General features: G+C 47.3%; 1 long non-coding RNA gene across 3 annotated transcripts, besides 4 other annotated features; it reads right to left on the reverse strand.

Annotated features, from left to right (window-relative positions):
• On the reverse strand, nt 1-5,325 carry LOC105374517 (uncharacterized). Of its 3 annotated transcripts, none has more exons than XR_940000.2 (3): nt 3,899-5,325; nt 2,334-2,440; nt 1-355 (listed from the first exon to the last, which is right to left on the reverse strand). It is a non-coding gene; the product is annotated as an uncharacterized LOC105374517 (long non-coding RNA). The 3 variants fall into 3 exon arrangements; XR_001739424.2 differs by having other exon boundaries at nt 2,334-3,606; nt 3,899-3,953; XR_001739425.1 differs by lacking the exon at nt 3,899-5,325 and adding an exon at nt 3,473-3,887.
• Nucleotides 4,784-4,953: an enhancer, noted in NCBI's record as "experimental_58491 CRE fragment used in MPRA reporter constructs". NCBI's record gives its function as "activates a minimal promoter by MPRAs in K562 erythroleukemia cells, with activity observed for the non-introgressed 2:42215364 variant allele {active_cell/tissue: K562}" and the evidence as "EXISTENCE:reporter gene assay evidence [ECO:0000049][PMID:34662402]".
• Nucleotides 7,054-7,348: a silencer, noted in NCBI's record as "tiled region #7749; K562 Repressive non-DNase unmatched - State 21:Repr". NCBI's record gives its function as "represses a minimal TATA promoter and a strong SV40 promoter by Sharpr-MPRA in K562 cells {active_cell/tissue: K562}" and the evidence as "EXISTENCE:reporter gene assay evidence [ECO:0000049][PMID:27701403]".
• Nucleotides 10,152-10,549: a silencer, noted in NCBI's record as "fragment chr2:42220647-42221044 (GRCh37/hg19 assembly coordinates)". NCBI's record gives its function as "represses an EF-1alpha promoter that drives an FKBP-Casp9 reporter gene in an ReSE screen in HepG2 liver carcinoma cells {active_cell/tissue: HepG2}" and the evidence as "EXISTENCE:reporter gene assay evidence [ECO:0000049][PMID:32094911]".
• Nucleotides 12,257-12,923: an enhancer, noted in NCBI's record as "NANOG-H3K27ac hESC enhancer chr2:42222752-42223418 (GRCh37/hg19 assembly coordinates)". NCBI's record gives its function as "activates a minimal SCP1, AML or CMV promoter by ChIP-STARR-seq in primed H9 embryonic stem cells {active_cell/tissue: H9 hESC(primed)}" and the evidence as "EXISTENCE:reporter gene assay evidence [ECO:0000049][PMID:30033119]".

Raw genomic sequence — 22,068 nt, forward strand, 5'->3', positions numbered from 1 at the left:
TAAAATATATCGCCCCTAGGACACAATACTAGGGTTCTTACCCTCAGGTCCTTGAGGGGATTTAAACAAGGGAGGGGCTCTGAGCTTAAACTCCTTGGCTTCATGAAAATAATCTCTGAGTCAGTCTCCAGCAAGAAAGACCACATCTTTCCCTGGGATCTCAAGTTTTATGGCTAACCGGGAGGCTTTCCAATGGACTCATTTTCTAGAAGGAAAATGATACTGACCTGTATGAATAGTTCCACGGAGACAAGAGCACAGGAAAAGTTGGGACAAGAAAAAAAAATCTGAAGGCGGCACAAAGGGCCTCTTTAATTACACTTAGAAGAAGGAAGGTGTGGATCCACTCTTGAGGCTGTAATTGGAGCAGAGGAGTGATATCAGTGGTCATGGAAGGAAGGGGACGATGTCAAATCCGATTTTGCTTCCATATTCTAGGAAAGATATAAAATCAGAAAGAGCAAATATTGTCAGTTGGTTCAGAAGCTGGAGTTACGTAACAAGGTTGCTTGAGTCTGAGGCTTTTCTAAACATGGATCCCTTGGCTCATGTCTTACATTCCAGGGACCCCCGAGAACCTGTAGATGAAATAGATCGGTAACTTCAATGCATCAGGAAGGTTGAGAGAGATGCTGGAATTCTATAGCTGAGCAGACATGGTTAGGACTTGTCCAAACAGAAGAGGCAGTTACTGGTAACTGTAGGCTATCAATCTCAGGCAAGATTCTAGAATAGATTGTGTGTGTGTGTGTGTGTGTGTGTGTGCATGTGTGTGTGTTTGGGTATTTTCAGGGCAAGATTCCACAGTATCATCAGGTTCCTAGAGAAGTTTGTGACCCCTAAAATGGCTAAAACCCACAGGCAGAAGATTTTATTTGCGGAAAAAAACATTCAATCCTTGGGAAAGCTCTTCTAATTCCTTCCTTTCACAGGTGGTGAAACTGAGGACAGAGGGTGATAAGGGCTTGCTCAAGGTCATACAGCAAGGTGGTGCAAGAGTCAGAACCAACACACAGATCTTCAGACTCCCAGTTCAAGGTTTGCTCTTTCCTCAATCTCTCACTGTTTCCTATCACACCACCTTCCCTTTACATATAAACCATCGCTAGCTTTTTCCAAAACGCTTTTCACTCTTCATCAAAAGGTATCAAGAGATGCCCATGGGAGCAGGGTGTGATTCATGAGCTCTTCGTGCACAGCTGTCCCATTCCTGAGAAGGGTCTGACAGATTCTGAGCACGGCACTCAAGCCAAAAGGAATCCCTCTCGATTTAGAAATCTTCAGCCACTCCCTGGAAAATGAGGAATAGAGCCTAGGTATGTGGGAAAACCATGACAGGCACCTGAGCCTCAACAGATTTAAAAATTTTTAAACAGTATAAAAAAATTTTAAAACAGATTTAAAAATCATTTGGGGTTCTTAGAAAGGAACAACAGGGTCTTTGAACACAGAGTGGGTTCTTTAAAGGCTCCTCTGTCCTGCCAAGTTCATTTCACTTTTTTTCATAGACTGTTTATACTGCTGGATTAGGAGAAGAGAGTGGACATGGTTCATCTGAATTTCTGCTCTTGATAAAATTTCTTAGAATAGGAAAGAAGAAATGACAGGGATTATTTGAAGATTCAAAGATGCTTCCGTGTTCACATTTGTCCTACTCTGTTCAAACTTTTTTTTTTTTTTTTTTTGAGACGGAGTCTCACTCTGTCACCCAGGCTGGAGTGCAGTGGCACCATCTCGGCTCACTGCAAGCTCCGCCTCCCAGGTTCACGCCATTCTCCTGCCTCAGCCTCCTGAGTAGCTGGGACTACAGGCGCCCACCACCACACCCAACTAATTTTTTGTACTTTTTAGTAGAGACGGGGTTTCACCGTGTTAGCCAGGATGGTCTCGATCTCCTTACCTCGTGATTCGCCCTCCTCGGCCTCCCAAAGTGCTGGGATTACAGGTGTGAACCAGCGTGCCCGGCCCTGTTCAAACTTTGTATCAGTGATGAGGATGAAACTGATGGCATGTTTACTAAATTTGTATACAATATCAAGCTGGAATTATTGGCCTTTCCATTTATAAACTTTTGTCAAAAGCTTCTAAAGGAAGAAGCTAAGGGGATAAAAGGCACTTCTTCCTACAAGAGCTCAGAGTCCAAAGATAATCAACAAGGACACAATTATGATGCACCTGTGGCTTACGCTACCACAGAGGGATGCATGGGGACTATGGGAGCCCAGATAAATAGGCCCCCAGCGCCACTGGACTTGCCATGTGGGAGGCGACAGCTGAGAAGTCTGAGAAAACATAGAGGTTAGCCAAGCAACACTAGAAGAAGGGCAACCCACCAGAGGAAAGAGACATGCAGAGGCCCAGGTGCAGGTGGACATTGGTCTGTTCAGGAAGCTGATGTGGTTCTGGATAGCAGAAGCGCCAAGAGTTGGAAGGGAGATGTCTGGGAACAAGGCCACAGAGTTAGACATGGGGCAGATCCTGAAGGAACTGGTTAATGTTACTTTAATATGTGTATTTTTTGTTGTTGTTCTAGAATGAGGTATCACTTAAAACTTTGGAACAGGGCCTCAAGGAGCTCCCATGTGGTAGGGAACACAGATGTGGAGCTCTTTCAATGCAGCATGGAGAGTTGTGCACCAGAGTCAGCCACATGTCCCTCACGTCAAGCCTCATTTCTGGCTACTTCTCCTCACTCTACTCCAGCCACATGGGCCCCAAAGCATCGAGCAACTTCCAGCCTTTAGGACCATCATACCAGCTCTTCCCTCAGCCCAGAATGCTCTCCTACCCCTTTCCCCAGTCCTATATCCAACTAAATCCTTCAAGTCTCAGCTCAACTATTACTGCCTTACGGAAACCTAATTTGACTCCCCATTAATGTTTCTCTTGGCACTTTTTACTTTGGCAGCACTGATGACTTATACCTTTTAAAGAATATATTTATTTGTATTATTGTTTAATGCCAGAGCCCCTGAGGGCAAGGTTGAATATGTTTTGCTCATGACTGTATCCCTTGTGATGATATCAAAAACTTGTATCAGTTAGAAAGAAAGAAAGAGAGAGAGAGAAAGAGAGAAAGAAAAAATAATGAAGTTCCAGTTATCTACCACTGCACAACAAACCATCTCAACATTTTACAACTTGAAACAGTAACCATTGTATTTTATCCCCCAACTTTGTGGGCTGGTAATTTGTGAAGGGATCAGCTAGGCAATTCATGTCTTCTATGGTCTCCATGAAGGTCATTCGATGGCATCAGATGGTAAATGGTCTAGTTTGGAGGGTCGAAGCTGGCTTTGCTTACATTTCTGGTGCCTTGATGGCTGGGGGGCCAGACTCATTTAGAACTACTGATGTGAATGGCTTCTCCAGTATGTTGCTATAAATAGGTTAGTCAAACTTTCTACGAGGTGGCTCAGAGGGAGGATCCCAAGAGACCCGGGTGGAAGCTTCAAAGTCATGTATGACCTACCTTGAAAGTTCCAGACATTGACTTCCACTGCGTGCTACTGGCCAAGCGAGTCAGTAAGGCGATCCCGGATCAAGGGAGGGAATTAGAACCCAACTCCCATGTGTAGAATGTCGAAGATGTTGCAGGCATCATCTCTAAGCCACCACAATGGGGCGGGGGACAGGGGAATGACATTTATCCTTTCACAGTGGTCATCCTGACTATAGTGCCCAGAAAGAAAGAAAAAGGATGGAATATGCCTAGGGAGATCAATTCAGAACATAATAGAAATAAAAATACAAAAAAAGAGGGTTTAAATGGTATCTACTGGAAGAGAAAAGGAGGCATGAATTTGAGAGATATTTTAGGAAGCAGTAGAAAGGAACAGTAAGAGCATGGACTATGGAGCCACATCATCTAGCTTTGAATCCTTGTTCTGCCACATACCAATGGTGAGAGCTCTGGAAAACTAGTTGTTTTCTCTGGTCCTCAGTTTCCTCATCTGTAAAATAGGTATAATAATTGTACTTATTTCACAGGGTTGTTGAACAGATTATATGAATTAATACATGGGGGAAAAGAGCCTAAAACAGTTTCTAGGTATACTAAGGGTACAATAAATATTAGCTCTTAAAGGAAAATAAATAAATAAAACTTACTAGGAGTCAAGTTTCGTCAGAAAGCCAAGGCATGGCTAGGGGAAATAGGAAAGGTTCCCTCTATCTATGTGTTCTGTTTGTCAGTGATGTTGAGGAGGCATTTTAAGCTTCCAACTTTGCAGCTGTAATGTACTTTGGAGTGTTGCATACTCCCACACCACCTAGATATGGTTACTTGCTAGGTTTACTGAATTCAATACTAGTGAAAAAACGGGAGCAAATAAAAATGCATAGAGATGTTTGAAGTATGGAGGAGCTGAAGATGCTCTATAAAAAGACCTAAGTCCTAATAAAATACATGTAACTGCATTAGCCTGAGGGCCTGGTCTTTCCTGCTCTTCCATCTTTTAACTGACATTGACCTTGCATCCACTCTCTTCCAGTCCCTGTGCCAGGTTCTGGGGATACGGTATGAACAAGACACTGTCCCTACATTTAATCCATAAACAAAGACATGCAATGCAGTGTCACAAGGGCTGGATCTGGGAGATGAGGGGACCCTGTAGATGCATGTGAGGGGACATTCCAGGCTGATGAGTGGCATCCACAAAGCTATGGAGGCATCTGGGGTTGGTGCTTAGGGTAGCATCGGTGTGACTAGAGTGTGGGGAACAGTGGGCTTGGCAAGAGCAGAAGCCCAAGGGGCAGCATTCAGGCCATGGCGATGTCTGCAGTGGTAGGCAATGGGCTGCGGGCATGTGGGCTCTTTATCTGGGTCTGCCTGCTGTCCTTCTGCAGAAATAGCCCATAAAGGCACTGAGATGCTGCCTGTCTAGCCCTTCACAGAGACAGAGGACCGGAATCAGTTTATTGCCATTCTCAGCTACTTCTTCAAAGTGCTTGAAGAGAGCAAACTGGTCATCCGGGCACCAGGTACAAGGACAGGAGGAGTTTGTGTCTGGCCATTAACGCTCACGGGGACCCAGCAGGCCCACTGTGTGCCTCAGATCCTGAGACTAAGTCCTTTAGTCTTACCCTAACTTCCTGGCAGTGGAGGAGGATAGACAAACATCTGAACCCTCTGCTGCCTTCACCCGCCTGCCTGCCTCTGTGGGAGCCAGAAGAGATGAACCCCAAGGATGGGTCTTGCCAAGCTTCCCACGAGTTAATACGTGGCACCTAAACCCCAAACCCCAGAGGGAAAACAGCATGCCCTTGCCTCATTCAGCCTAAAACTGCATGGCAGGACCAAGGGTTTGGCTCCATGAGAATGTACATTGAGGAGTGGTGTGTTAGTCCTTTCTCATGCTGCTATAAAGAACTGCCCGAGACTGGGTAATTTATAAAGGAAAGAGGCTTAATTGACTCACAGTTCCACAGGGCTAGGGAGGCCTCAGGAAACTTACAATCATGGGGGAAGGGGAAGCAAACACCTCCTTGTTCACATGGTAGCAGGAAGGAGAATGCCAAGCAAAATGGGGGAAAGCACCTTATAAAATCATCGGATCTTGTGAGAACTCACTATCCCGAGAACAGCATGAGGGTAACAGCTTCCATGATTAAATTACCCCCCACCAGATCCCTCCCACAAGACTTGGGGATTATGGGAACTACAGTTCAAGGTGAGATTTAGGTGGGGACACAGCCAAACCCTATCAGGTGGCAAAATCCCCAGATGGAGTTTCCCCACCAATGAGCATCCAACAGTCCAGCAAAGCACCTGATCCAGCCCTAATGCTGACCCCAACAGCAACCACACACTGACCCCAGCCTTGCATGGAACCCTAATCCAACCTAACCCTAACCTTACCGGACCCTTACCCACTGTGCTTTAATACCATAGCAATCTGAATCCAAGTCCCCAGCCTCCCTAACCCGATGCTCACCCTGAATAAAATAACTAAAATAACTTCAACACCAACATCCACTCCAATAAATCCTAGATTGCCTCTCAGCCCTAATTTTAGCTCCGATTCCAACTTCACCCCAGGTCAAAGGAAACACAGAAAGGAATGGTCTCTGGGGAGAGAAGTGCTGCTGCCCCACAGTCTGGTGGTCTTGACCGACAGCTGTCTGCCATATGTAGCTTGAAATGTACCTGGAACAATTGTCCTTTGGGTTTAAAATCTGATAGAAGACTACTGCCATTATGAAAGGATTTAATACACAGAAATCTCTTTGGAAAGAACCAGACCTTAGAAGTTCATAGTTGAGAAATAGAGGCATTTGAGTTATTTCCTCTGTGAATAGTAGACAGGGATGGAAGTTCTTAAGAAACTCTTCTCCTCCAACCCCTGATCTGCAGGAGTCATCAGGAAATGGGATTATCTTCAATTTATAAATGATGAATAATTGCCAGTTCTAAGCAGAGAGAGGAAGGGGGTACTGTGTCACAGACAGGAGAATACAAAGGGAGAAGCTAGATTTTTAAAAGAGACACCAGCATGTTTAATTCTTACTGTTCAGCCTCCTCCTGAGCCTGGAAGGCTGGTGCTGGGTGCCCAGCCTGTGGCCCGTAGGGTAAATGAGGGCTCCTGAGCCTGGCTCAGAGCGTGAGGCCCCAGGGTAAGTCCCAGAGTTGCACTCTGCTGGAGAAGGCAGAGGTCAGCCTAGAAATGTGACACCAAAATGGGCTGTCAATCAAACAGAAGAGAAATAACAGAGGCTGAGACACAAAGCCCAAAGGCAGAATGGCAGGAGCCATCAGGGCCAGAAGGAGAAACAGCGGGTTGGGACAGGAAAATGGGGTGGGGGTGGGGGAAGGCAAGCAGTCTGAATTCAACCCAAGGGTCCAAGGCAGCACCTCAAGAGCTTTTACACAATTACAGCACAAGTGCACATGGAAAAGTCAGATTCCTTTTTTAATAACTCCTTTCTCAGACTCAAAAAATTTAGAAGATTTAGAAAGTACAAAAAGTGTATAGACGCCAAGTAAAACGAACTACAACCCTTGACTTGAGTGACGCTCATTTAAAGAGGCAGGACATTACTAGGACTTAAATTGTTTCAAGAATTTATCCCTTTACCCTCAAGTTTCAGCTACTAACATCTGAAAGAAAAAAAAAATACGGCTCTCTTACTTTGTCCAAGAGGACAAAGCCTCCTGAAAGGAAGTCAAGGCCACAGCTGATGGTAACAGAACAGATTCTGTTTCCTGCACTCCAGAAAAGGGGAGGCAGCTGTTCATTCAGAAAAGGGTTATTGATCATCTCCTATGTCTGGCACTGTGTTAGGCCCTGGGTTCCAGCACAGCAGATGCCATCCCTTCCCTTGGGGCACTTACACCTTCTGCAAAGGCTGCTGTGGTCCCTGAGGTCATTCCTACAACACATCCCTGAAACATACCCACATGCACTCTCACACACCCCCACACGCACTCTCACACACCCCCACACACCACAGCATCACGCACAACTTGCAAACTGGAATACACAATCATCCACAGATACTCCCACTCACACACCCATATATCCACATCACATCACACTGACATATACTTACACAGACTACACACTCACATGCAATGCACTCACCACACACACACACATTCCTACAACACGCTGTCACACATGCAGTAACTGCTAAACACACACGAAGCAGTTATCTCCTCCTTCCTTTGTACTCCCTTAGCTCCTGTGTAAAGTTAGCTGTGGCATTTACCATACTGTAATGTGATTAATTACATCATGCCTCTCCTCCACCTCTGCCTCAACCTGGAAACTTCCTAAGTTCATTTCTGTAAGCCCATCTTCCTGCTCAGTGCCTGGCACATAGCAGGTGCTCAGTAATGTTCACTGCATGAACTTTGAATGCCTCCACTATGGACTTCGGTCCAAGGAGCAAGTCTCACCCTCTCCTCCACTGGCTAGAGTTGGAGTTAAGGGGGAAAAACATCTAAGGGAGCCCCTCAGCAAATGTTCTAATACAAGGCTCTCCCAGCTCAGCTCTACAGCACCCAGTGATCCTTTCTGCTTGTCCCACTTGTTGGAGGGAAGCCAACGACCTTGTGAGAAGAGGCAGGAGAGACTTTGTCAGATCTGCATGGTGGTCTCAAGGTCCCTGCCCGATTCTCCCATTTCTCCCTTTTTCTTTTCACAATATTACTCCCCAGTAAACCTTTTGCACACAACTCCAAAAGGAGGAGTGGGAGGGAAAGGAGGAAGAGGAGCATGAAAGACTAGCTGCATCTCCACGGCATGCACCCATTAGTGAGAGCCACAAGCCTAGGTCTGACCTTTGGCTTCAAGGAGCCAGAAATCTGATTTCTCAGCCCTCTGAAGGTTGAGCAGGTGTCAGGAGACTGAGATGTGCTCACCAGTTCCATGCAGAATGGTAGGTAGACTGAGCAGCTGATAAATCTCAGGAGAGGGAGGGGAGGGGAGGGGAGGGGAAGAGAGGGAAGGGGAGGGGAGGGGCCGAGGAGGGGGAAGGGGGTGAGGAGGGGAAGGAGGGAGGAGGAGGGCAGATAAGCAGAGGGGAGGAGCAAGGGGGAAAGGAGGGAGAAGGGGAAGGGGAGGGGAGAGGAGGAGGGGAAGGGAGGGAGGGGAGGGAGAAGAGGAGGGGGAGGGCAGGGTAGGGGAGGGGAAGAGGAAGGCAGGAGAGGGGAGGGGAGAGGGGAGGGGAGGGGAAGGGAGGAGGTTGGCAGGGGAGGGGAGGAGAGGGGAGGAGTTGGGCAGGGGAGGGAAAGTGGGGGAGAAGGGGAGTGGAGGAGAGGAGAGAGGAAGGGGCAAGAAGGGAAGGGGAGGGCAGGAGAAAGGAATAAGGGAGAAGGGGAGGGCAGGGGAGGAGAGGGTAGGGGAGAGGAGGGGAAGGGAGGGAAAGGGAGGGAAAGAGAGGGGAAGGGAGGGGAAGGGATGGCCCCAGATGCACCCTAGAGCACTCACTCCAACATCTGTAAGGTGCACTCTGAAGCAGCAGCCCAATCCTTGGGGCTGCTAAAGCCCCACTATTCCCACAACCTTCTAGTGTCAGGTCAGCTCCAGGCCATGCCCAGGCCAAATGGAATACCAGCATAACTTCAGAGCCACCCACCCCTTCCCTGTCACAATACCTGTTGGGTTTGGCCATCGTTAGTCATCCCTGATGCTCTGCTGAGGTTGTGTGACACCCCCACACACAAACTCCCACCCCTCCCAGGCACCTTCACACACAAGCACAGCCCTGGGGGCAGCTCCCATTCCAATATCATGCTTAGGAACTTGACTCTGTCCCCAGGCTAAGCTTCCAGAGACCAGGACTTGCCCACGTCCCCCTCCCCCACCATAATACACCAATACTGAGTCCTCCCTTCTCTTTCTGCAAGAAGGCAGCAGCAAGCAAGACCTTCTACTCTTTGGGGCTGTTTCCCCACCACCAGGCTGAGAGCTGTGCTCCACCTTGGGACGCATTAGCATTTTTAAGGTTCTTATTCCCATACACATCGTGCCCTGGGATTGTCCTCTTCCTTGAGGCATTAGCACCTTCCCTTCCTCTTTCTCACCCCAGCCCCGCCTGCCTGGGGTCAGCCTTCAATCCACACAGTGTCTGGGGAAGAGCCTAGAGGCCATGTCACACTTCCCCAGCATGTTTCACGGCCCATCTCTTCCTGTCGGAGGCACGTCCTGAAGTCCTGAGCCCCCTCCCATCTTTTCTCCCTCCCCGCACAAGAGGTGTTCCCATAATCAGTAGGCATCAGTCGGCTCTAATCAACCCCCTATTTTGACTATTTTAGCAGCAATAAAAGGGCCATAAAGACCAAGTCAGTGGGCCCTCTAGGAGCATGGCGCTCCTTCACTGTGATATAATGAAAAACACCAAGTGCTTCCTCGGAGCCCTAAGTGACAGCCCTGGCAGCAGAGCTATTGGGCGAAGCCTAATTATGCTATAAATTAAAGGGCTTTTTTCTTACCCTACATTATGACCTTTAATAAGATTGTTTTTACAACCAGCTGTCAATAAATCATCCAGGAGCACCAGTGAGAAGCATTCTCTGAGAACTTCTGCGAATTTCATTAGCTGCAGTTTATTTGGTTTTGGTGAGCTATGATGTTTTTTAAATCTCAAATTAAAGGCTCTGAACCATAAAAGCTAATTCAGAAAAGTTCCTGTTTCAGCCTCTGAAAACAAGCCCCCCTAATTGCAGAAATTAGCTGAGATGTGGCCAGGCCAGGAGGTCATTACTTGGGAAGCAATGACAAGTGCCTGAGGCTTCCCCAGGCTTGGCAGCCGTGGGCCCCCACAGAACCTGAAGGTGACAGTCCCAGGGTGGACAGCTGGCCCTACCATGGCAAGGCCCTGGGAGGTCACAGCCCTGAAGACTGCTGAACTCAGGAGAGACAGGCCAGCTCACAAGCTTGGGCTGAAAGGAGCTAGCCCTGCCACCTGAGCCCAAGTCCTTGGCCAACTGATTCAGGAATCCCGCAAAACTGTTTAACCTATTCCTTGGAATGTCCCGCCTCCAGCTTTCTTAGAGTCCATTTCGTGTCCTCAGAACAGTGACACTTCATGTATGTGACTGTCTTTCTGAAATACATAACCAGCGATAAATGAATACAATGTAAAAATGGTATATTCAGAGGTGTTGGCGATGACGATAAAGTCCACGGAGTCCACGCAGACATGGTCAATAGAAGCAGAGAAGATGATGTGAGGGTGGTCGCCCACTTTCTAAGAGAGCAAGCAGGCCTGGTACATGCGATGCAGCAGCTAATGTGCTGGTGCAGGCCAATATCAGGAGGCCTGGATTTAATTTCCAGCCCTACTATGAATTCTGGAAACTTGGGAAAGCACAGATTATGAAGCCAGACAGACCTAGTTCAAATACTGGCTTCAACCCTTGCTAGCTGAGTGGCCTAAGGCAGGTTACTTCATCTTTCTGGACCTCAGTTTCCTCATCTGAAAAATGGGGACATTAGTACTTCCCCCAGAGGGTTGTGGTGAGGGTGAGTGAGCTGAGGCATATGAATCACCAGGCACAGTGCTGGCGTCTGTAAGCTCTCAATTAACATCAGCTGGTAACAATTGTAGTAAGAGGCGTGACTGTATTTACCTCCCTGGGCCTCAACTTTATCATCTGATTTCAACTTTATCAAATGATTTCTCAAGCCACTTGCATCACTGTACGGAAGTGATTCCAAGAGTTGTAAACTCCGCTGCTTAAACCTGCCAGAGGCCTCGCATTGCCCACAGGATTCAGTCTAAGCTCCTTGGAAACAGGCTGCCTGGTTGGGTCCCTGACTACCCCCTCCAGGTCCATCTCCTGCCAGTTGCAGTCAACAGAACATGTGTTCACAATACCCTCTACCTCTGGGCCCAAGCACAGTCTCCCCACTGGCTGGAATCATTCCTTCCAGAGCCTCTTCACCTAGCTCATTCCTACTCTTTCTGCCAGCACCTAAAGTCACTTCTCCTAGGTACCCTTCCTAGCCCCCTCGTCCCCACCCCTCCACTCCTACATGTGCCGCTCTAATACCTGCTACTCCTGCTATCAGAGACCTCGTCACTTTGCACTGACCACTGTATCTAACCTGCTGTCCCCACCAAAGTAGGCAGCATAGACCGTGTCTGTTTTGGTCTCCTTGGATCCCCTAAGTCAATACTGTCCTTGGCGCTCCCTCTCCCTCTCCCTCTCCCCACGATCTCCCACTCCCCACGGTCTCCCACTCCCCACGGTCTCCCTCTCCCTCTCTTTACAGGGTCTCCCTCTGATGCCGAGCCAAAGCTGGACTATACTGCTGCCATCTCGGCTCACTGCAACCTCCCTGCCTGATTCTCCTGCCTCAGCCTGCCGAGTGCCTGCGATTGCAGGCGCGCGCCGCCACGCCTGACTGGTTTTCGTATTTTTTTGGTGGAGACGGGGTTTCGCTGTGTTGGCCGGGCTGGTCTCCAGCTCCTAACCGCGAGTGATCCGCCAGCCTCGGCCTCCCGAGGTGCCGGGATTGCAGACGGTGTCTGGTTCACTCAGTGCTCAATGGTGCCCAGGCTGGAGGGCAGTGGCGTGATCTCGGCTCGCTACAACCTCCACCTCCCAGACGCCTGCCTTGGCCTCCCAAAGTGCCCAGAGTGCAGCCTCTACCCGGCCGCCACCCCGTCTAGGAAGTGAGGAGCATCTCTGCCCGGCTGCCCATCGTCTGAGATGTGGGGAGCGCCTTTGCCCCGCCGCCCCGTCTGGGATGTGAGGAGCGTCTCTGCCCGGCCGCGACCCCGTCCGGGAGGTGAGGGGCGCCTCTGCCCGGCCGCCCCTACTGGGAAGTGAGGAGCCCCTCTGCCCGGCCACCACCCCGTCTGGGAGGTGTGCCCAACAGCTCATTGAGAACGGGCCATGATGACAATGGTGGTTTTGTGGAATAGAAAGGGGGGAAAGGTGGGGAAAAGATTGAGAAATCGGATGGTTGCCGTGTCTGTGTGGAAAGGAGTAGACATGGGAGACTTTTCATTTTGTTCTGTACTAAGAAAAATTATTCTGCCTTGGGATCCTGTTGATCTGTGACCTTACACCCCAACCCTGTGCTCTCTGAAACATGTGCTGTGTCCACTCAGGGTTAAATGGATTAAGGGCAGTGCAAGACGTGCTTTGTTAAACAGATGCTTGAAGGCAGCATGCTGGTTAAGAGTCATCACCACTCCCTAATCTCAAGTACCCAGGGACACAAACACTGCGGAAGGCCTCAGGGTCCTCTGCCTAGGAAAACCAGAGACCTTTGTTCACTTGTTTATCTGCTGACCTTCCCTCCACTATTGTCCTATGACCCTGCCAAATCCCCCTCTGTGAGAAACACCCAAGAATGATCAATAAAAATAAATAAATAAATTTTAAAAAGCTTGTATCTCAACATATAAAAATATACTTTTTTATAGAATGGAAAAAAAAAATACTGTCCTTGGCATATGGTATGTGCTTAAAATATCTGCCAAAGGAATGTTAAATGATGCAGCATTTAGAGACATATTATATGGGGAAAAAAAACTATATGCAGAAGTAGAATAAGTTATTTTGTAAGCAATTATTTGATTTGTAATTAGAAGTTGGGTCTTTCTTTTAATTGATTATCTTAGAAGGTTGTCAGAAAATAAAACTGTTAATACATCTTACTGTGGCCTTAACCATTTGACCCTCATCTCCTTTTTTCTCAGAGAATGCGGCAGAGAAAAAGAGGAGAAACTGAAGAAGGGACTAAATAAGGCAAGGCTGGATCAGAAAAGATTGACTCTGAGGACTAAGAGAAACTGAAGCTGGGACCCAGCAGGGTGCTATTGACCTCCAAGTCCTTTCTCCACATTCCCCCATCTGCCCAACTTCCACAGCTCAGGGGTCTTTTCTCCTAGGGTTGAAATATGAATGGCTCTAAAATTTCCCAGTGAAAACCATCCATGAAGTTGTGTGTGGGAAATGAAATGCCAGCCCGTGGGTGTCAGCAACTGTGAAGAAAGCGTGGCATCCACGCTCACCTGGGCTTCCTTTGGTTTGCCTCATTAATCAGCTCCCCAGGTCATCGGCACGTCTCGCCTCAGGCTCACAGGTCTGGTTTTTGTATAATACACATTTCCCCCAGTTTTTATTTCATCTGTTTTTTTCAAGCAGCCTTTCCATTATTTCTGAACATTTGAGTTAAAAAAATGTAAATTACAGACGCCTGCGGATTGACGTAATGTGAAAAGAAGGCGGCTGTTTCCCCTTCCTCCAAACAGGGGACATGGCTTTTCAAACTAATAAACCCCTTAAACCTCATGAAGCCCATTTCGACCTTTTTAAATGGCTACTTTCAGAAGGGGAAGGGAAAAAGCAGCAGCGGGAGAAAGTGTTGGGGCCCGTGTCATGGCGGGAGAGGGAATGATCCCAGCTCGTGCAGATGGAGTCTGTCCCTTCCCTCAGTCGGAGGTCGTAGCCACCAAGAGACTGGCCATGCTGAACCTTGGAGGGGAAAGCCCACAGCATGGGGACAGGCCTCTGAAGTCCTGGTCGGAGGAGAGACTGAGCAGATGCAAGAGAGAGGAATTTTGTGGTACGGGGGGTTCTGGAAAAGGTGAGAGCAGAGGGATCAAGAGGGAAATAGGAGGGATCCACTTTGACACTGTGGCTGGGATTGTGGGTGGGAGGGCATTGGTGGGAGCAGGGGGGTTGAAGCTACCGGGGAGGCGGAGCCAACATTGCCTGCCTTCTCTAAAAGCAGGGATTGAATATGGAGGAGATCATGGAGTTGGAGTTATGGACAGTAGGGAGATCTGAAATAGAGCAGTGAAAAACTCAAGGGGACAACCAAAGCCGAAGGACTAATCGACCTCTAACGTGCAAGACTCTTCTGTTTTGAACACTCAGAGAGGACAGGCCCACTTAGTAATCTCTAGGGTTAGAGTCAAGGATTACTTTTCTCATTCCAGAGGGCTCTGGCTGTCTACCCAGGCATTGGGTCCTGTTCTGCCTACAGCCCTGAACCAAGCAGAGAGTAAGACACATAGGAAGTATCCAGAAATATTTATTGAATGAATGAATGAGCTAATATATGAATGGATGAATGAACAAATGGAATGAGCAGTTTCTAAACAACTGTAATCCTTCTGACAGGAAGTGCGGGTGCCTTTTCTCCAAGAACACCAAGATTATTCCCCCAAAAAACAGCACTGCCATGTACAGTTCCACAGGTACTAGGGATCCAAATAAAATTTTTTCCTTTCAAAGCAGCCTATCATTCAGGAAGCAAAGCATTCTAATAATAATTGAGGAGTCTGTCTCTTGCTTTGTCTCTCTCCAGAGTTCAACCATCTGGGATTTGAAAATTAGAGAAGGCAGAAGGGACAGCAAAGTCCGCTTGGAAACTCCCTGGGGAGAAGCTGGCAGGGACCACCCTGTGCCTCCCCCACGTGTTGAATATCCTTGCTGTTTAGAGGCTGAAAACAGGTCTTTGAAGTTTCTGGCTTTGCCTCCAGCAAATCGGCCACAGCTTCCCTTATATTCCAGGCTGGTTTGAAAATAACTCTTCCAGTGCCTCCACCTCCCAATCCATGGAGGAGACTTAAAATTTAGCAAGCTTAGCCCTTCCCTGTCACACTCACATCAAAGGACAATGCTAGGGACCTCCAAGGGAAATACTTCCGCACCCCAGAACCCTGGGAGTCACATTTCCATCTAGGCAGCTGCAGGGGAATGGAGGAAATGTATCATACGAGCAGAGGCAACTCTGGAATCAGCCCTTCCTCTACTGAGGCCAGGGAGACGGGTTGCTACTCAAAAGGAAAATGTAGGTGTCCCCTGCAATTTGAACAGGCTGTGGATGTGCTTTACCATCGTCATGCTACTCTGGCTTCTAATTTAGGGAGCAGAGGGTAAGGCCTCTAAGAGCACAAAATCTTTGAGCTAAACGGCTTTGAGTGAAAAGTACAATCACTTAAAAAAAAATACAACCGCTTATCAACTTTATTCAGCTCCTATTTAGACGTGAAAAATGCTCCAGAGGGAGGTTTCCTGAGCAAAGGCCAGGATTTACTGTGTATTTCCCACAAACAGGGCTCACTGGTTCCTTCTGTGAGAAATGAAACCCAGCGGACCCACCCAGCAGGCCTCACGGGCAAAAAGGAGTCTACACCAGATTAAAAAAATCCACTTCAGGACTTTTTTACTACTGGAGTGGGCTGGAGAGCTGTCAATGGGCAGGAAAATAGCACATCTGGAATGCGGCTCTGTCCCCGTGCTGGCTGGTATAACTCAACATGTACGTCAGATCTTTTTTTTTTTTTTTTCTTTAATGGCCAAGATTTATCTGGCTTCTATTCATTTTTTAAGTCCAGGGTGAATATGATTGTTAACTTCTATACTTTTACATTTGTGTAAATTAAAAGCCATATTTCACTACTGGGCAGATGGCTTGCTGCTTGCTTGCCTTAAATGTAAAAATGGCAAAGCTAAGCACTATAATCCAAGACATGGATTACCCAACTCACCCAGAAGATACTAAAAGAGAAAGATCTTGTGATTTCTTCACCAAAGCTATATCCCCTTTGTGCCTTTATAAAATCTAGTTCTAGAAAAGTTGGCGCCAAGATGCTCAAACTGCAAGTAGACTTTTGGATTAATTTAGTCAGTCATGTTCTGACTGTGGCAACGAGAGGCTATTACAGGCTTTTTTTATTATTATTATTTGATTTTATTTTTTTGTAGCAAGCAAATTGGTTTGTAAAACAGATATAGCCGTTTTAACTCCTAAAGAGATTTGGAGGAAAGTGAGTGGATCCTTCCGGAAACAGCCACCTCTTGCTTTTTTTGGTTGGGGTTTGACATCCGTTTTTGAGCACAAGGGAATGTCTTTTTCATGGAAGTCCGTACTTGCCATTTTCTCTTAAGTTAAAAGCAAGAGCAATATAATAAACGTTTGCTAACAACCCCCCACATACTTAGATTTATTGGCTAGTTAAATCTTTAATGGTTAAAGTTAAAAACCTTTTATTTTAAGGGCTTGGGGATTTGCACAGCTGGAATGTTGCATTTTAATATATTCATATTGGAATGGAAAAGCCAAAGTGACCAGCACATTGACTTCTTTCTTGGATGTCCCAAGCTGATAACAGGCATAGCCTTGCCCCACGGCCTCCCTCCTCACCCCGAGCCAAGTCCAAAGAGGGGATGGGAGAAGGGGAGAGCAAGCATGCTACAGGGGCCATTTTGGGTGGCTCCCTTCCTACTTTCACTCTCCTGTTCTTGATCTGCCCTCGAAACACTGAGAAATCAAGGAGTCTCTACATTCTGATTCTGCCACTCAACTGACCCATCTTGGCAGGGTCACACTCTGCTGGTCTCACCCTTCTGGGAACTCCCTAATTTGGTCGTCTAGATTAGAAAGGCGGTGTGCAGCAGCAGTGGTGAAGGTGCTAGGGTCATTAACTTGATGAGGGTTGATAATGTGATGAAGGGAGATGGGAGAGAATGGAAGACTACCAAAGCACAATGGAAGGACATGATTTGAGATAAGAGGTAGGAGTGACAGAAGTGACAAAGGGTGGTACTGATGACATCTAACCAAATGCTTACTCTGTGCCAGGCAATTTCAAGTTGCTTTACATGAATTATTTCATGGATTCTCCAATCTAGTACTATGTTGCCCTTATACAAATAAGGAAACTAAGGTGTAGAGAGCTAAGCAACTCGCCAAGTCTAGAAAGAGATAGACCCAGGCAATCTGACTGGACAGACTATAATTTTGATGGAGGCTTCAAAGAGATGGGGATGGGAATATGAGAGGCCTTGAAAATTGAGAGGCATGAGTGTTCAATCACTGCTAAAGCAGAACCAGGAAGGATAGTTCCATCACTTTCAGGAAACATGATTATGAGGAAATGCGCGTTCTCATGCACATCCCACAAGTGCACACCGCCACTTCGTCCCAGTGGTTCCTCATGCACCTTAACACACAGAAGCATGTTCTGACAAAGATATTTTATGCACTCATCTACTCACTTCACAGACACATGCTTCAGAAACACTATGGCACCAATGCATTCACACAGATGCGCCAACATTCACACTCACATCTTCTGGCACCACATGTACACACACATGCACACACACACGTGCACGCTGAGGGGGATATGAGATGCAGTTATCTCTTGATGATCCCTTGGGATTCTGCCATGCCTTTGTTTCTCAAATACTGACTGTTGTCTGTCCTACTGACAATGATCCACCTAGCCAAGGGTGGATCCTAAAGGATGCAGGATAAAGCACATGGATCAGATGGCCAGGAACACAAGATGATCCAAAGGCTCCCAGAAACAGTAGAGATAAAAGAATCTTCCACCCATCACTTTCAGTCTCCCATCCTAAGGGTCTTGGGCTCTCACCTTGAGAAGAGCCAACCCAGCCTTTGCTAGTGGCTTCTGCCATTAGGGCTTAAAGGTCAAAGTTGGGGTCTTTGATCACCAAACAGGATGAACGCTGCAGACAGCAGGCATGTGGGTCATTCTTGCTAAGGAAACTTGACTGCTGAGCCCAGGAAGAGAACACTCAATGGAACACAACAGGCTTCCCGTGAATTTTCTAGCTCAGAAACGTTAATATTTCTCAGATGGAGGCTCACAACGTTCACAGGGTTTTCAATTTCAAGGCCATTTTTGCTTTTTTTAAAATGGGGTTTGATGTTCTCTGCACAAACATAGGTTTAACAATTGACAAAGCACCAGACATCCTACCTTGGCACTTGTACGTCTGTCCTGCAGGACAGTGATGCCACTCAGCTGGTATTGTCTGCAAAACCATGACTCTCTGTTCCCTGGCACAGAGACCTTGCCAATTGCAGGAAGTTGGGAAATAAAAGAAACTTTTCAAATAAAAAGATGTCAATTTAACAGCCAGGGACCTGGAAACAGATGTTCCTTGCCTAGACCAAGAGCCGCCCACCCGCCCATCCGTCCTCCGGGTTTTCAAAGTCACTTCTTGTCAGGTGCCCTGGTTAAGAGGGAGAATTAACGAGCTGTGCTCCATTTTACGGCTGCCGTCTGATGTGGGAGCTGTGTGCGGAGCACTCCGCGGACAGGCCAGCTCAGCCCCAGCCCTTCCTCCAGCAGTTCAGCCTGGATCAAAGCGGAGAGCAGCTCAGCTTTTATAGCAAAATGATTAAAACCACGTGGGGCTTGTTTCCTCACACGTGACCTCCCGACAAAGTGCAGAGCGGGGAGCCAAGGAAAGGTGAACCCAGGGGTCTGTAGGCCCAGGGAAGAGTAGGACCCACGATGCAGACACATACCAAGTAAGCACAGACGCGCATGCGCACTTGCTGCTTTACACGGACTAAAATAACACACCCTCACACGCATAAATAAATGCTCTTTCCCTGCAGGTGGAAACGGCCCAGAATGAGCAGCCAGAGGCCTAATGGGCCAGGTTAGCTAGGACCACAAAGATAAGTAAATAAATACATAGTTCCTAGTTATTCAATTACGCCTAACACTTGTAGAAAGTACTACTGAATTATACTTGCAAAGTAAGGCCCAAATATCCCTCCAGCATATGGACAAATAATCTCTCACCTATCTGTAGTCTTCGGCAACTTCACCACACCTGAAAATTACAGCTCCCTGATGGCAGGCAACTTTGCCTCTAAATTAATTGATTTGATCAAATGATCACCTGGTTGGTTCCCTTCCCCTGGTATTCCTGCTTAATCTCCTCCGCCCAGCAAGGACTGGGTTTACTGGCAGAGGCAATGAGATGTCGCTTCCAAGATTAAGTCACCAAAGGACTGTGGCTTCCTTCTTAGGCACTCTCTGGCTTTGGGGGAAGCCAGATGCCATTTTGTGAGCTGAATGAACTAGGAGAGCACCACATGGCAAAGAACCAAGGGAGACCTCCAGCCAACAGCCTGCGGGGAATGGAATCCTGCCAACAGCCCCTGGAGCCAGAGTAGAAGCCGACCTTTCCCATCACGACAGGATAACTGGGCCGGGCGCGGTGGCTCACGCCTGTAATCCCAGCACTTTGGGAGGCCGAGGCGGGCGGATCACAAGGTCAGGAGATCGAGACCATCCTGGCCAACATAGTGAAACCCCATCTCTACTAAAAATACAAAAAAATTAGCCGGGCATGGTGGCGCATGCCTGTAATCCCAGCTACTCGGGAGGCAGAGGCAGGAGAATCCCTTGAACCAAGGAGTTGGAGGTTGCAGTGAGTCGAGATCGCGCCACAGCACTCTTGACTGGCGACAGAGCGAGACTCCCTCTCAAAAATAAAAAAAAGGCAGGATAACTGCAGCCCCAGGTCACACTTCAGTTGTAGTCTTAAGAAAAGACCTAAGCTGTGCCTAAATTCCTGATCCCATAGAAATAGTGAGATAATATTTGCTGTTTTAAACTGCTACGTTTGGGGGCTGCTACGTGATTTCTTGGGTAGCCATAGGTAAGTAATACACCCACCTGGCTCCTTTTCCACCACTGAAAATTACAGCTTCTTCAATCTTTTCTCCTTTCATGGGCTATTCCTGTGCAGTCAGATAGAATTTACAACAAGCTTTAAGCACTTACACCATCAGCCTCACTGCTGCCTTTACGTCTCTGAGCTCATCTCAGCCACTCTGGCCTCTTTGCTGTGCCTTGAACACACCAGGTATGACCCGACTCAAGGCCTTTGCACTTCCCAGGGCTTGCTCTCCCACTTCCTTCAGGTCTTTGCTCAAACATCACCTCTTCAAAAGGCTTTCCCAGACCACTCTGCTTAAATAAATAAATAACCTCCATCTCACCCCTAGGGCTCCCTATTCCCCTTTCCTGCTCAGTTTTTGCCATAGCCTTTATCATCATCTCGCATACTGTCCCTCTTACTCATTTTATTTCTTGTTTGATTCTCTCCTCCCCAGGCCAAAGGACAGGAATTTTTAGGGTTGTGTCTGTTTTGTTCACTGCTCCCTTCTGTGTCTAGAACCCTGTCTGGCACAATGTAGGGATTTTTCTTAGTCCATTCAAGCTCTATAATAACATTCCATAGAAATTTTTACTTCTTACAGTTCTGGAGCCTGGGAAGTCCAAGATCCAGGTGCTGGCAGATTTGGTGTCTGGTGAGGGCCCACTTTCTGGTTGATAGGTGGCACCTTTTAGCTGTGTGCTCACATGGGAAGGGGCAAGGTAGCTCTCTGGGGCCTTTTTATATGGCCACTAATCCCATTCCTAAGGCCTCCACCTCCATGATTAAATGACTTCCCAAAGGCCCCCACCTCCTAACACTGTTACGGAAACACCAGGGGTTCCATCTAGGTCCTGCTGCTCACCACACACAAAGCCAGTCACTGAGGCAATGAGTATTGCCAGGGAAGAAGGCTTTAATCAGGGGCTGCAGCTGGGGAGATAGGAGATCAGTGTAAAATCCATCTCCCTGACAAACTAAAATCAGGGGTTTATATAGCAGGGAAGAAATGTAACTACATGCAGGGAAACAGGAATTAGAGAAGGATAAAGAAGAGGAGTTGGTCAACAGGAAGCAGGTGGTTAGTTAGGCAGTCATGATGGCTAAAGGGTCTGGCCTCTCATGGTCCAGATGCAGTGATCTGGTTTCAGTTCCTTGATACTATCTAGCAGTCCTGATGGCTGGTTTCCTGAGAAAGGAACTCAGATAAAACTATTGTAACTTTCATAAGTTTTAAGACAGAGAGGGTCTATTTCTATGTTCATTCAAAGGAAACCTTAAACATCAGTTCTATGGGACAATTGTGCCAGTTTCAACACCAACACTTTGGGGGTTAGGATTTCAACATATGAATTTGGGGGGACACATATATTCAGCAGCATTCAATAAGCACTCATTTAATAAATTAATGAATGAAGATACAGAGCTCCCATGTTCTCAAACACCTACTATTTGGTTGGTGCAAAGTACTTGTGGTTTTTCCCATTATGTGTGTGTGTGTGTGTGTGTGTGTGTGTGTGTGTGTGTGTGTGTGTGTTTGAGACAGAGTTTTGCTCTTGTTGCCTAGGCTGGAACGCAGTGGCATGATCTGGGCTGACTGCAACCTCCGCCTCCCGGGTTCAAGCGATTCTCCTGCCTCAGCCTCCCGAGTAGCTGGGATTACAGGTGCCTGCCACCACGCCCAGCTAATTTTTTGTATTTTAAGTAGAGACAGCGTTTCACCATGTTGGCCAGGCTGGTCTCAAACTCCTGACCTCAGGTGATCAGCCTGCCTGGGCCACCACATGCATCCAGCCATTACTTTTAATGACTATTACAAAGCAAATACGTTGCCTGCATTGTTGTTAATCCTCATAAAAACTCTGCAAGGTTGACACTGTTGTTTCTCAATTTACAGAATTTAAAATCTGAGACTAGGAGATGCTATCTTTTTCAAGGCCTCGCAAGGCTGTGCTGGGATTCAAGCCCCCAACATCCTTCTTCTACACTTTCTCCATTGTTTTGGATAGCTCTTTACAGTTAACAAAATGCCTTCAATGCAATGATCTCATCTGACCTTAACAATAACCCTGGGAAAGAAGAATTGTAATTATCATCTCCATTTTGACATATATGAGAATCAAAGCTCAGAGAGGCAAAAGTATTTGCCCTGGTTGACACAG

This window comes from Homo sapiens, chromosome 2 (genome assembly GCF_000001405.40).
Source record: "Homo sapiens chromosome 2, GRCh38.p14 Primary Assembly".
Taxonomy (NCBI): Eukaryota; Metazoa; Chordata; class Mammalia; order Primates; family Hominidae; genus Homo; species Homo sapiens.